The sequence below is a fragment of the Homo sapiens genome, chromosome 2 (assembly GCF_000001405.40).
Source record: "Homo sapiens chromosome 2, GRCh38.p14 Primary Assembly".
NCBI lineage: Eukaryota > Metazoa > Chordata > Mammalia > Primates > Hominidae > Homo > Homo sapiens.
The window spans coordinates 192,033,837-192,046,562 of record NC_000002.12 but is presented as its reverse complement, the minus strand read 5'-3'; the positions used below and the strand labels follow the sequence as shown (position 1 = coordinate 192,046,562).

Sequence of the window (12,726 nt, the reverse complement as noted above, 5' to 3'; positions counted from 1 at the left end):
GTGACAGTTCCATTTCCACCCCTTGATTTCTGGACCAATGAATTTTGGCTATGGGAGACAGAGCACCACATATTAAATGCTGATTCAGAGCACATACAGCCTTCTGGAGAACCTTGCACCAGTCCTAGAAAGCAGTGTCACCTACCTGGTGTTACAACTGTGATTTCTTTCTCTTTTTTCTTTTTTCTTTTTTTTCTTTGAGACAGTGTCTCGCTCCGTCACCCAGGCTGAAGTGCAGCGGCATGATCTTGATTCACTGCAACCTCCACCTCCTGGGTTCAAGCAATTCTCCTGTCTCAGCCTCCCAAGTAGCTGGGACTACAGGTGCATGCCACATGCCCAGCTAATTTTTGTATTTTTAGTAGAGACAGGGTTTCACCATATTAGTCAGGTTGGTCTCGAACTCCTGACCTCAGGTGATCCACCCACCTCAGCCTCCCAAAGTGCTGGAATTACAACTGTGATTTCAAAAAACCATTCCACCACTCTATCAAGCCAGCAGCTATAGGATGGCAGGAAACATGGTAAGACCAGGGAATTCCATGAGCATATACCCATTGCCATGCTTCTTTGGCAGTGAAGTAAGTTCCTTAGTCAGAAGCAATGCTGTGTGGAATACCAAGATGGTGGATAAAGCATTCCGTAAGTCCATGGATGGTAGTTTTGGGAGAAGCATTGTGTGCAGGAAGAAAAATGTATATCCAGTGTAAATATCTATTTCAGTGAGGACAAACTGCTGTCTCTTCCATGATGGAAGCAGTCCAATATAATCAACCTGCCACCCAGGAGCTGGCTGGCCACCATGAGGATTGGTGCCATATTAGGGACTCGGTGTTGGTTTCTGCTTCTAGCAGATTAAGAACTCAGTGGTGGCTGTAGCCAGGTTGGTCTTGGTGAGTAGGAGTCTATGTCGCTGAGCCTATGCATAACCCCCCTTTTTTGCCACAATGGCCACTTTGTTCATGAGCCCATTGGGCAATGAACAGGGTTGGCTGGAGAAAGAAGCTGAGTGGTAGCTACAGAATGGGCTATTCTATCCACTTTATTATTACAGTCTTCCTCTGCTGAGGTTATCCTTTTGTAAATATTTACATGGGACACAAATATCTTCATGGTTTTTTGCCCATTGAGAGAGATCTATCCACATACTTCTTCCCCAAATTTCCTTCTCACCAATATTCCAGTCATGTTCCTTTCAAGTCCTTGACCATCTACCAAACCATTGGCCACAGTCCATGAATCAGTGTACAGTCACATGTCCTACCTTTTCTCCCAAGCAAAGTGAACAATCAGGTGCACTGCTTGAAGTTCTGCCTACTGGAAGGATTTTTCTTCACCATTGTCCTTGAGGAATGTTTCAGAGAAGGTCTGCAGTTCTGCAGCTGCCCACTTTCAGGTGGTAGCTGTATATCATGCAGAATCTTCTGTAAATCAGGCCTGAGTCTTTTTTCCTCTATCAACTGATCACAAGGAGCTCCCCTGTGAGGCCACAGAAGCAGGCGGGAGAGAGAAGGTCCTGTAATAGGAGTGGGTGCCATGACAATTAGGCCCCTTCTTTTCATGTAACTTACTTGTGCCAAGAGCCTGATTTGACCTAATCTCATACAAAGTACTTCCATTTGATGATGGAGTGCTGCTGTGCATGCCCAACTTCATGGCTTTGCGAGTAAGACAACACTCAGTTCATGGTGGGAAGCTCAGGTCAAATAGTAACTTAGTAGTGCATAGTTAAGTATTAAGTCTCTACTAAGGCCCAGTAGCAAACTAAGAACTGTTTCTCAAAAGGAGAGTAGTTATCCACAGAAGATATCAGGGCTTTGTTCCAAAATCCTAAGGATCCGCACTGTGATTCACCAATAGGGGGCCCATCAAAGGCTCCAGACAGCATCCCTGTCTACCACTGACACTTCAAGCACCATTGGATCTACCGGATCATAAGGCCCAAGTGACAGAGCAGCTTGCACAGCAGCCTAGACTTGTTGCAGAGTCTCTTCTTGTTCTGGGCCTCACTGAAAACTAGTGAAAAGCAGTTTACTCAGTAAATGGACTAGAGTAACACACTCAAATAAGGAGTATGTTGCCTCCAGAATCCAAAGAGGCCCACTAGGCATTGTTCCTCTTTTATGGTTGAAGGTGAGGCAAATACATCAACTTATCCTTTACCTTAGAAGTAATATCTCACATGCTCCACATACTGACCCCTAGAAATTTCACTGAATTTTCTTGAAAATTCATTCTCTGACATGCAAATGTCTTACCAATAACTATAGAGTAGTTGCTACTTCTTGCTCACTACGTCAAATCAGCATCATGTCACCAGTGTAATAGACTAGTGTGATATCTTTTGGAAGGGAAAGGTGATAAAGATTCCTGCAAACTAAATTATGACATAGTGGTAGAGAATTAACATACCCCTGATGCAGCACAGTGAAGCTATATTGCTGACCTTACTAGCTAAAAGCAAACTGATTCTGGTTGTTCTTATTGAGAGGTAAGGAGAAAAAGGCATTTGCTAGATCAATAGCTGCATACTAGGTACCAGGGGATGTATTAACTTGCTCGAGCAATGAAACCACATCCAGTACAGCAGCTGCAATTGGAGTCATCACCTAGTTAAGCTTATAATAATCCACTGTCATTCTCCAAGATTCATCTGACTCCCGCACAGGCAAGTTGAGTGAGAACATAAGAATCACCCCGTCCCTGAGTCTTTCAAGTCCTTGATGGTGCAGTCTTTCCAGGAATGTAGTGTTTCTTTGTGTTTAATATTTTTCAAGGTAAATGCAGTTTTAGCAGCTTCCACTTATCTTTTCCTACCATCGTAGCCTTCATTCCACATGTCATGGAACCAATGCGGGGTTTCCGCCAGCTGCTGAGAATGTCTACTCCAATTATACATTCCAGATCTGAGGAAAGAAACACAGTGTAGGTTCAGGGACCCACTGGATCCACTGTGAGATGGAACTGAGCTAAAGCTTCACTGATCACCTGACCTCCATAAGCCTGTACTCTGACTGTGGACCACAGTGATGTTTTGGGTCTTTTGTAATTAGTGTCAGTTCAGAGCTAGTGTCCATTAGTCCGTGAAAGGTCTGATTCCCAATGCACAGTTATTCTGGCAAACAGCTGAAGGTCCTTTTGAGGAAGGCTCAGAGAAAGATTAACAGTATACATTTTTGGCACTGTACCAGGGCCCTTTCTCAAGGGGACCTGACCTCCCCTTTATGCAAAGGGTTCTGTGTCCATAAACTGGCTCTAGTCTGAGACTTGATTAAGGGACCATGACTCTCTTTTTTTATGATGTAGGCTAGACTTTTGTTTAAGAACGTTTCTGCTTATCAAATCAAGTAAGATTTAGTAGGCTTTCCATCTATTTTTTCACTTTTAGGAACACCATGATCCTAAAACACTAGCAAGGAACACTAGCCAATACCATAGGTCTCCATGAATCTGGCTATTCTGATTGCTGCTTTTGACCTTGCTTTTGGCAGTCGAGTACTGCCACTTGGCCCCTGCTGCCCTGAGACCCAATTACTCCAATTGCATTTAGATTTCCCAAGTCAGTAACTGCTATTCCCATTTAAGTTCTGGCCTGCAGAGAAGAGTGGTCCTAGAGCTCTTCAAGGATGTTGTGGCTCTCCTCACAATCTGTTTCTAACAATATGGGTAGAAGGTACATCTTCTGGACCCTTTTGGTGTGTGTGAGTAGGTCTTAAATGACAAATTGACTCTAGCATTCCAGTCTCTCTAAGCCTTTGAACCTCTTTCTCTGTGTTAAACTGAGGCATGCCTAGCATTTCTAATTCGCTCACTGTGGACCACCTTTTGCTCCATGTTTCAGTCAACCAAGCAACCAAACTGCCAGAGCTCTTTCAAATTCCCCAAGTTGCAATATTAAATGCAATATTAAATATCTGCCAAGTGAGCTCATATCAATAAATTCAGCCTGATTCATAACTTCATATTCTTTTCACCATTATCCCATACCCTAGTGTCCATTCCTACACATGTTTTTGGGATTTTTGTATAAGTTAGGAACTTAGGTAGTTCTTTTGGAGTGTAGCACACCTCTTCACGGATTTCACTTCCTATCACACTTTTAGGTGCCCGCTGGAACTTGAGTTCAGTACAGGCATACCTCATTTTAGTGTGCTTTGCTTTACTGCACTTCAAAGATAATGTATTTTTCATAAATTAAAAGTGTGTGACAACACCACGTGAAGCAAGCCTACCAGCACATTTTTTCCAACAGCATGTACTCAATTCATGTCTCTATGTCATATTTTGGCAATTCTCACAATATTTCAAACTTTCTCAAATATTTCTGTTATGAAGATCTGTGATCAGTGATTTTTTTTTTTTGAGACAGAGTCTCACTCTACTGCCCAGGCTGGAGTTCAGTGGTGTGATCTCGGCTCACTGCAACCTCCGCCTCCTGAGTTTAAGTGATTATCCTGCCTCAGCCTCCCAAGTAGCTGGGATTACAGGTGCCTGCCACTACGCCCAGTTAATTTTTGTATTTTTAGTAGAGACAGGTTTTCACCATGTTGGTCAGGCTTGTCTTGAAGTCCTGACCTCAGGTGATCCACCTCCCCCAGCCCATGGGATTACAGGCATGAGCCACCGCACCTGGCCGATCAGTGATCTTTAATGTTACTACTGTAATTGTTTTGGGGCACCCAAACCAAACCCATATAAAACAAGTAAACTTAACTGATAAAACGTTATATGTTTTACTGACCCGCTGATCCCCCATCTCTCTCCTTTTCTACGGCTTCCCTAGCATGAAAAGTATTTCCACTGTATGAATATACCATATTTGGGTTATTTGTTCATCAGTTGAGGAACATTTGGGTTGTTTCTACTTTTTGACTACTATGAATAATGCTGTTATGAACATTTATGTACGAGATTGTGTGGGAATGTATGTTTTCAGGTCTCGGGTATATACATAGGAGTGGAATTGCTAGGTCATATGGTAACTTTATGGTTAACTTTTTGAGGAAGGGCCAGACTATTTTCCAAAGTACCTGCAACACTTATATTCCACCAGCAGCGTATGAGTGTCCACACTTCTTCACATCCTTGCCAATGCTTGTAATTATCTGTCTTTTTGATTATTACTATCCTAGTTGGTATGAAGTGGTATCTGATTGTGGTTTTGATTCACATTTCACAGGTCTAATGGTGTTGGTCTCTTTTTATTTGTATATTGAACATTTGTTTATCTTTTTAGAAGAAATATCCATTCAGATCATTTGTCTATTCTTAAATTCAGCGATTTGTCTATTTGTTATTGAGCTGTAAGAGTTTTAAAAATATATATAATCTAAATATAAGTTCCCTGGCAGATATATGGTTTGCAGGTAGTTTCTCTATTTTGTGGAATTGCCTTTCACTCTCTTGACCGTATCCTTTGAAACACAAACTTTTTAATTTTGATGAACTCCAATTTACTTTGTTGTTGCTTGTGTTTGTTGTTATATCTAAGAAGGTTTTGCTCAACCCAAGGGAGCAAATATTTATTCCAATATTTTCTTCTAAGGGATTTATAGTTTTAGCTCTATATTTAGGTCTGTGATCCATTTTGTGGTATTTTTTGCAGATGGAGTGAGGAAGGGGTCCAAATTCATTTGTTACATGTAGATATCCAGTTGTTTCTACACCATTTGTTGAAAAGACTAGCCTTTCATCATCAAATTTTTTGGACACCCTTATTGAAATCAATTGACCCTGTATACAAAGATTTATTTCTCTAGTCTCATTCTATTCCGGTGATCTATGTATCTATTCTTATGCTACAACTGGACTTCATTTTCTCATATGTAAAATTCAGGAAATGAGGGTGTTGCTCTATAAGGTTTCTATGGTTTCTTTGGGCTCTAACATCATCTATCATAGCAGAAGAACTACTGTGAGCTCTAAAGAACTACCCCCAAAGCGTCCCCAGTGGTCCTAGTGGCATTTTTTTCTCTTTCTTTTTGGCCTAAAATTTCCAGAGTGACTTTTAAATTTGAGAAGATAATCTATCATGTCCAGAAGGCAAGACTTCCCACTTTATATTTTAATCCTTATACATTAACAGAAACAAGTTTTTCATATTAGCTAGTCACCTCTTTAGAAAGCACAGAAAATAGGAAGCTCTTCAAAGGATTTGAAGCAGCTATGACAAAAGGTAAACATATAATGAAGATACTTAAATAAGAGAGAAAATTCGAGTTGAATAAAAAGACAATGTTGAGGAGAAGGAAGAATGTAAAAGGCAGGATAGAAATAATAGATTTAAAGGAAAACCAAGGCTAAGAGAAGCTGCTACTATTAATCAAAAGGCTTATCTCTGAGTGCTCTGAATTCAAGGTGAGAAAGAAAAGAAATAACTCTTATGGTGTAGTTAGAAAAGACAACTAGTTCATCAAGAAATACTTTTACCAGTTCTGAATTCTACAAAAATGTATACTGTGTACATTTAATATGATTTTGAATAAAATAAATGACACTATCTTTGATTACTAGCTTATAAATTACATAAAATTATTTATATTGGAACTTAATATAATTTATTACTGATAAACTTGTAAAATTGTAGGTGATTCTTTGTTAAAACTTGAATACTGGTATCCAGGCATATCATTGTTATAGTTATATGAGCCAGTACAGGAGTAAAACATGAGGAATACATGGCCACTGTATTCCTTAGTCTCCTTTCAATTATCAATAATCTCAGCCAGAGATTAGGAAGCATCTCTAAAATATCTAATGTGAATCTTTAAAATTATAATTCACATTCACAGACAGCAAAACTAAGTAGTTATTGAGCAATAAATCACTTGTTCATATGGCAGAATAAGAATGAATGCCTGGTGTCCTGAGATGGTCCTAGGATAGTGTTTCCTGAACCATTCTCCGATTTATTCAAAACTACTTTATGAACAGTTGGGAAATTAGATGACTTGGTTTGTGGCAATGAAGTACCATTTCCCAACATAGTTTATTTTTCTGTAAATATTTTATTTTACTACTAAGAATAAAAGAAATTGCTGTTATATAAGTTGCACAGATTGGAAAACATTGGTCTGATCAAAGTTTTATGATAAATATCCTTGCTTTAATTGTAATTAATTGATTAAAAACACAAATGAGAAGCAAAGAGAAAAATGTACAAAGCAATAGCAACATATCCAATTTTGGGCCTAGCAATTATAATTATGGGTTTAGAACATCCAATCTGACTTTGAGATAAATTTACTTATAAGACTTCCTACTACCAATTCTGTTCTTTCTTTTTTTATTCATAGAATTGATAAATAACCAATAATTTTCTAGTTATATTTGCCTTTTTTTCCTATAAATCCTCACAATAGGACTTGTAGTCCTTCATTAGTATAATCAGGCTGCTGAAAACTTTAACCCAGTTATTCGTCTATTGCCTGTCTTTTCCTCAATTTTTGTTTGCCCTAAACCAAGACACCATTTCAAATTAAAGTCTTCTACTATAATGTTAAGTTAGATGGGGGGGGCGGGAAATATCTTTGCATTAAGGACCAAAAACCACATGGCAATAAAGTAGAGTGCATGAGGGCCATAGGCTTGCATTTTTTTAAATGTAATTTAGTTAAATTCTATTTTTGCTGCCTATAACATTGGCTAGAAGGGTTGATATAGAACAGTGTGGATATTAAAAACTGTAGCTTGCAAAGTTACTTGTCAGGAAGGCTTTCTTTTTAAAAGGAAAACAATACAATGGGTACAACAAGTATCTTAAGTATAGAAAGAGGAGGCTGGGCAGGGTGTCTCACGAGTCTGTAATCCCAGTATCTTGGGAGGCCGAGGCAGGTAGATTGCTCAGTCCAGGAGTTCTAGACCAGCCTGGGCTACATGGTGAAACCCTGTATCTACAAAAACACCTAGCCAGGCATGGTGGTGGACATCTGTAGTCCCAGCTACTCTGGAAGCTGAGGTGGGAGGATCACTTGAGCTGGGGAAGGCAGAGGCTGCAGTGAGCTAAGAACAGAGTGAGACCCCACCTCAAAAAAATAAATAAAAAAAGAAAGAAAAGAGCAGTGTCAGTAGGAGTTGGGATGGTTAGGTTTGAAAGGTTTAAAAAAAAAATTTAAAATAACAACTAAGTATTATTGTTGTAGTGCTTACTTTGTGCACTACACTCTTCTAAGGACTTTGCATTCCTTAACTCATTGAACCTTCAAAAGAGCAGTACAAGTTATGTACTATTAGTATTCCAGTTTTAAAGATGATGAACTTGAGGTACAAAGGTGTTAAATAACTTGTCTAAGTTTACTTAGCTCTTAAAGGTCAAAGCCAAAATTTGAACCCAGAGGTCGTACTCTTACCTGTTCTGTCAACATTCTTTCCAAATGTGCTCTAGAAAACCTGGGGCATAGTGAAGAACTTGTAAGACTCAAAGGACTTTTACATGTGTAAAGAAGGGAAAGAAGTTTCTTGAAGAAACAGAAAGAAATGTATTAATGAACATATATGAAGTCATGTGCACCATCTTATTTAATCTTTCACAACAGAATGGTTAGTCGTGACTTTCCTCCATCTGTACAAAGAAGGAAAGCAAGGTTCAGAGAGGTGGGTAACATGCCGAATATATGTTGGTAGGTTGAGGTGGATCTTGAGTTCAATCTCAAATTTAATTCCAAGGTCCATGTCCTTTTCACTGCAGAATGCTATAGGATAGAAGTCAAGGTAGAATTAAGACAGAAAAACTGTCCTTTCAAAAGAAAGAACAGTTTATGGTTGAGAATGTGTATAGTACTTGAAGAGTTAGAAAAGTGCATGTAGCCAAATGATGGAAGATTTTGTTGCCATGTATGATAGGGTAAGCAATATCAAATGCTATAACAGATAAGTGCCAAATTCTCAGAGGTCTCTCTCTCTCTCTCTCTCTCTCTCTCTTTCTCTCTCTTTCTCTCCTCTCTCTCTTTCTCTCTCACACACGCACAAACACACACACACACACACACACTTGTTACTCTCATCATAGGTCAGAGAAGATGGTGCCAATCAGGCAGCCTAATACAAGGTCCTGCAGGGGCCAAGGGTCTTTCCATATCGTGGACCTGCCTTTCCTTCTAAGGCAGAAGGACCTGCCTTAGAAATTCCTTCTATTTCTAAGGAAATAGAACCTCACTGAGGTTCTATTCATTAATTTAATAGAAAGAAAAAAAACTTAAGTGAGAGGTTTTTTTTTCTGTTTTCTGTTTTTCTTTCTTTCTTTCTTTCTTTCTTTCTTTCTTTCTTTCTTTCTTTCTTTCTTTCTTTCTTTATTTTGGCTAGTCTTAGAAGTGCATTCTGCACTTCTAGCAACATCCCACTGGCCAGAACATTTGCTATATAGTAAAAGTGGCATTAAAGAGAAAGAAGCCAGTAATGAGGCTTGGTAATGGTCCCCAAAAGAGAGATTAGAGTCAGGAAAGCTTTACAGTATGAGGAGATATTTATTTAGTACATACGATAGGTCATGCTCTGTCTGAGCCCTGGGAATACAGCATGTAACACAGATAAGGTCCTTGCCTTTAAACAGCTTACATCCTGAGAAGGGGTGAGATGGAATAGACAATAAAGAAATGAACAAACAAGCAAGCAGACGACATCCTTTCAGATAACAAGTGTTTTAAAAAGAAAACAGAGTTCTGAAAAACAGGATCCTGGGAGAAAGGGATGCTACTTAAGATTGGATATTTAAGGAGTACCTCTCTGAGGATTGACATTTTAGTCAAATAGCGAGAGCCAGCTATGCAAAGATCTGTTGAAACAGTATTCTGAGCAAAGAAAACCTCTGGTCCAAAGGCGCAAGACTGGGGATTAGCCTGGTGTGCTGAAGGAACTGACAGAGGTCAGTGTGTCAGGAGCCCCTAAAATAAGAAAGAAGGTCAAAGTTGAAAAGGGGTTTGATCATGAAGGTGCTAGTAGGCCTTCATGAGGAGGCTCAATTTTATTCTAAGTATACTGAGAATCCTCCAGATGTTTTATTCTGGAGATGTTTATTCCAGATATTTATTCAGGAGTTATATGATTCAATCATCACTCTCACTTCCTCCTGAAGCCTTGCACGACCATTCCAGAATATCATCATCATCCCCTTCTCTTTCCATATCATGGGCCTGCCTTTCCTTAAATCACTGAGGTTCTATTCATTAGTTAAATAGAAACAAAAAGAAAAACATATCTTACATGAGAGTTTTATTGGCTAGTCTTTGAAGTGCATTCTGCTCTTCCAGCAGAATATCCAGTTGGTCAGATATCCCATAGCAATTTCCCTTGCTTCAATCACATTGGTACTTCTGGAAATATGGATATGCAATCTCCTTAACTGGAATGTAACCTCTTGAAGAGCAGACTTATATTTAATTTGTGGCTTCCTCAGTAACAAACACAGTTCCAAGAAAACACTTAGGTCTTGAGTAACTACATGAATAAATGAATGATGAATAAATAAATAAGGAATGAAAAATAGTTGAAGGAATAGAGAGCAGTATCCTCTTGTATTTGGAGTCTACAACGTGCTTTCACTTTTACTGTGTCATTTGATCCACATGAGCACATCGAGTTCATGGGGGAGAGTTTGGTAACTGCACAATTATGAGATGCCAGAGATTAGAAGTCAAACAGAAACGAAGATGTTAAGGCTGAGCACTGAGAAGAATAATGGAACCACTTTGGAAATAGGGGATCAGGAGGTAAAGTCAATTTGGAGTAGGGGAGGGAGGTGGTGAGAGAAAGTTATGTTCTGATTCAGCTGATAAAAGGCAGAACCAAGTAGAATGCCCAGTAGGCAAGTAATTAAAGGTTAAGTTGTGTGATGCAGACAGAAAGAGCTGCAGGAGTTCAGATAAATCTAATAAAGAAAATGGATTTGGGACTGAGGAATGAGAATAGACACTGAAGTCGCAAAAAGTTAGACTGCTGGGTGTAATGACAGAAAATATTTACTGAAAATAACTGGATATTGGGAAAAAGGACAGACTAAGTAATGGGAAATAGATATCAGGATATATTAATTAAGATAAGACATCAGAAATAAACCATAGAAGAAAAAACTGAGGAGCTGCCATCTTCCATTTGTTTAATTAAAAAATGAAATTACTGCCCTACTCACAGTGCTACTCACTGAATATTTCCAATTTCCTACCTCCAAAACAGTGGACATAGGACTGTGTTATGGGATGCTGCTTCCTGGCTACTTTGCAGTTGAGGACACTGATGTGTCTGGTTCTAGACTGTGACCTGTGGCTGAATGTTTGATTGCCAATACAAAACTCTGCAAACTTTCCTCTTTCTGACTTCATAATTAGCAGTGTTCAAGTAGGTGACTGCTTTGTCATCCAGGATCCCTGGGTGATATAGAGCATAAACAAACAAACAAAAAAAAGATCGTTGTCATTTTAAGCCACTGAGATATTGAGGGTGTTTGTTACTGCAACATAACATTATACCCTGCCTGATGCTCTCAACATCAGTGCCCAGTAAGAAAGGATGAATGTGGAGTGAAATTGAATCCTGTGACAGGAAACAGTGGGGAAACTAAGGATCATTAAAAAAGGAAGAGACATCAAGTTGGCAAATGATACTGACCAATCTTCTAACACACTTATCCCCGAAGGCCTTGCAGGAGGATAGAACTGGAAACTTCACGGCAGGTGTGTTTACCTACCCATCCATGCCCCCTCCAGTGAAAAGCAGGATAGGGCAACTCCTTCAGGATGATGGAAAATGCCTCAGACTGGCTGGCTGTGTCACTGTCCTTGACTTCTCCTCACAACTAGTATGACAGGTTGATGTGGCCGAGCGTCAGAAAATCGAGAGAACAGTTAGCAGTGCTTCCAGGTCTCCAGAGCCACAATGCCTATGACAAAGGATAAAATGAACCAGAGACAATCATAACCAAAATTATAAAGTAGGACAACAATTTATAAACAGGAGAGAGTAAAATGCTTGATTGGGTTCTGACAAGAAGAATATATTTAGAAAGATAAAACCAAGCTTACAAGAATAAAGCAGAAATTGATTTTCCATATAGGACCTACCAATGTAGAGATTAGTAAAAGGAAAAGAAGACAAAAAAGGTAAATCCATTTTTGTTCCTACAACGTGCAACATATTCGTGATTTTTTTTCCCCATGGAGGAGTGATGGGAGAGTGGAAGGGAAGGGAATGAATATATTTTTCAGCTCAATCTTTGACTACTTCTCATAACCTAACTTTAAATTTTAGGATTTGTACTTAACACTATATTGAGATTGTTATTTTAACTGGAATTCTAAGATTTGTGAACTGTAAATGAAAAACATACTCATTAAATTTTATTTTTTCTTGATACTCAAAATCATATTTATAAAAAAAGGATTTTTTTTTTTTTTTTTTTGAAATGGAGTCCTGCTCTGTCACCCAGGCTGGAGTGCAGTGGCACGATCTCGGCTCACTGCAAGCTCCGCCTCCCGGGTTCACGCCATTCTCCTTCCTCAGCCTCCTGAGTAGCTGGGACTACAGGCGCTTGCCACCACGCCCGGCTAATTTTTTGTATTTTTAGTAGAGATGGGGTTTCACCATGTTAGCCAGGATGGTCTCAATCTCCTGACCTCGTGATCTGCCCACCTAGGCCTCCCAGAGTGCTGGGATTACGGGCGTGAGCCACCATGCCTGGCCAAAAAAAGGATTTTTTAAAGGAGAAAGAGGTGCAAACCTCTTTAGTTAGTAAAAACT

At 39.3% G+C, this 12,726-nt stretch overlaps 1 protein-coding gene and 1 long non-coding RNA gene across 9 annotated transcripts in view; one reads left to right on the top strand and one right to left on the bottom strand.

Annotated features, from left to right (window-relative positions):
- Positions 1–12,726, bottom strand: part of CAVIN2-AS1 (CAVIN2 and TMEFF2 antisense RNA 1) — a 217,342-nt gene that overhangs the window by 17,267 nt on the left and 187,349 nt on the right. For 2 of the 4 annotated variants that reach the window (NR_187185.1, NR_187187.1), the window contains exon 2: positions 9,442–11,869. This is a non-coding gene — a long non-coding RNA (CAVIN2 and TMEFF2 antisense RNA 1). Of the gene's footprint in view, positions 1–145; positions 2,907–9,441; positions 11,870–12,726 lie in introns of those variants that run through there. The other 2 variants (NR_187184.1, NR_187186.1) reach the window with 2 other exon arrangements.
- The window catches only part of TMEFF2 (transmembrane protein with EGF like and two follistatin like domains 2), a 245,888-nt gene that overhangs the window by 148,371 nt on the left and 84,791 nt on the right, over positions 1–12,726 (top strand). The window lies entirely within an intron of this gene.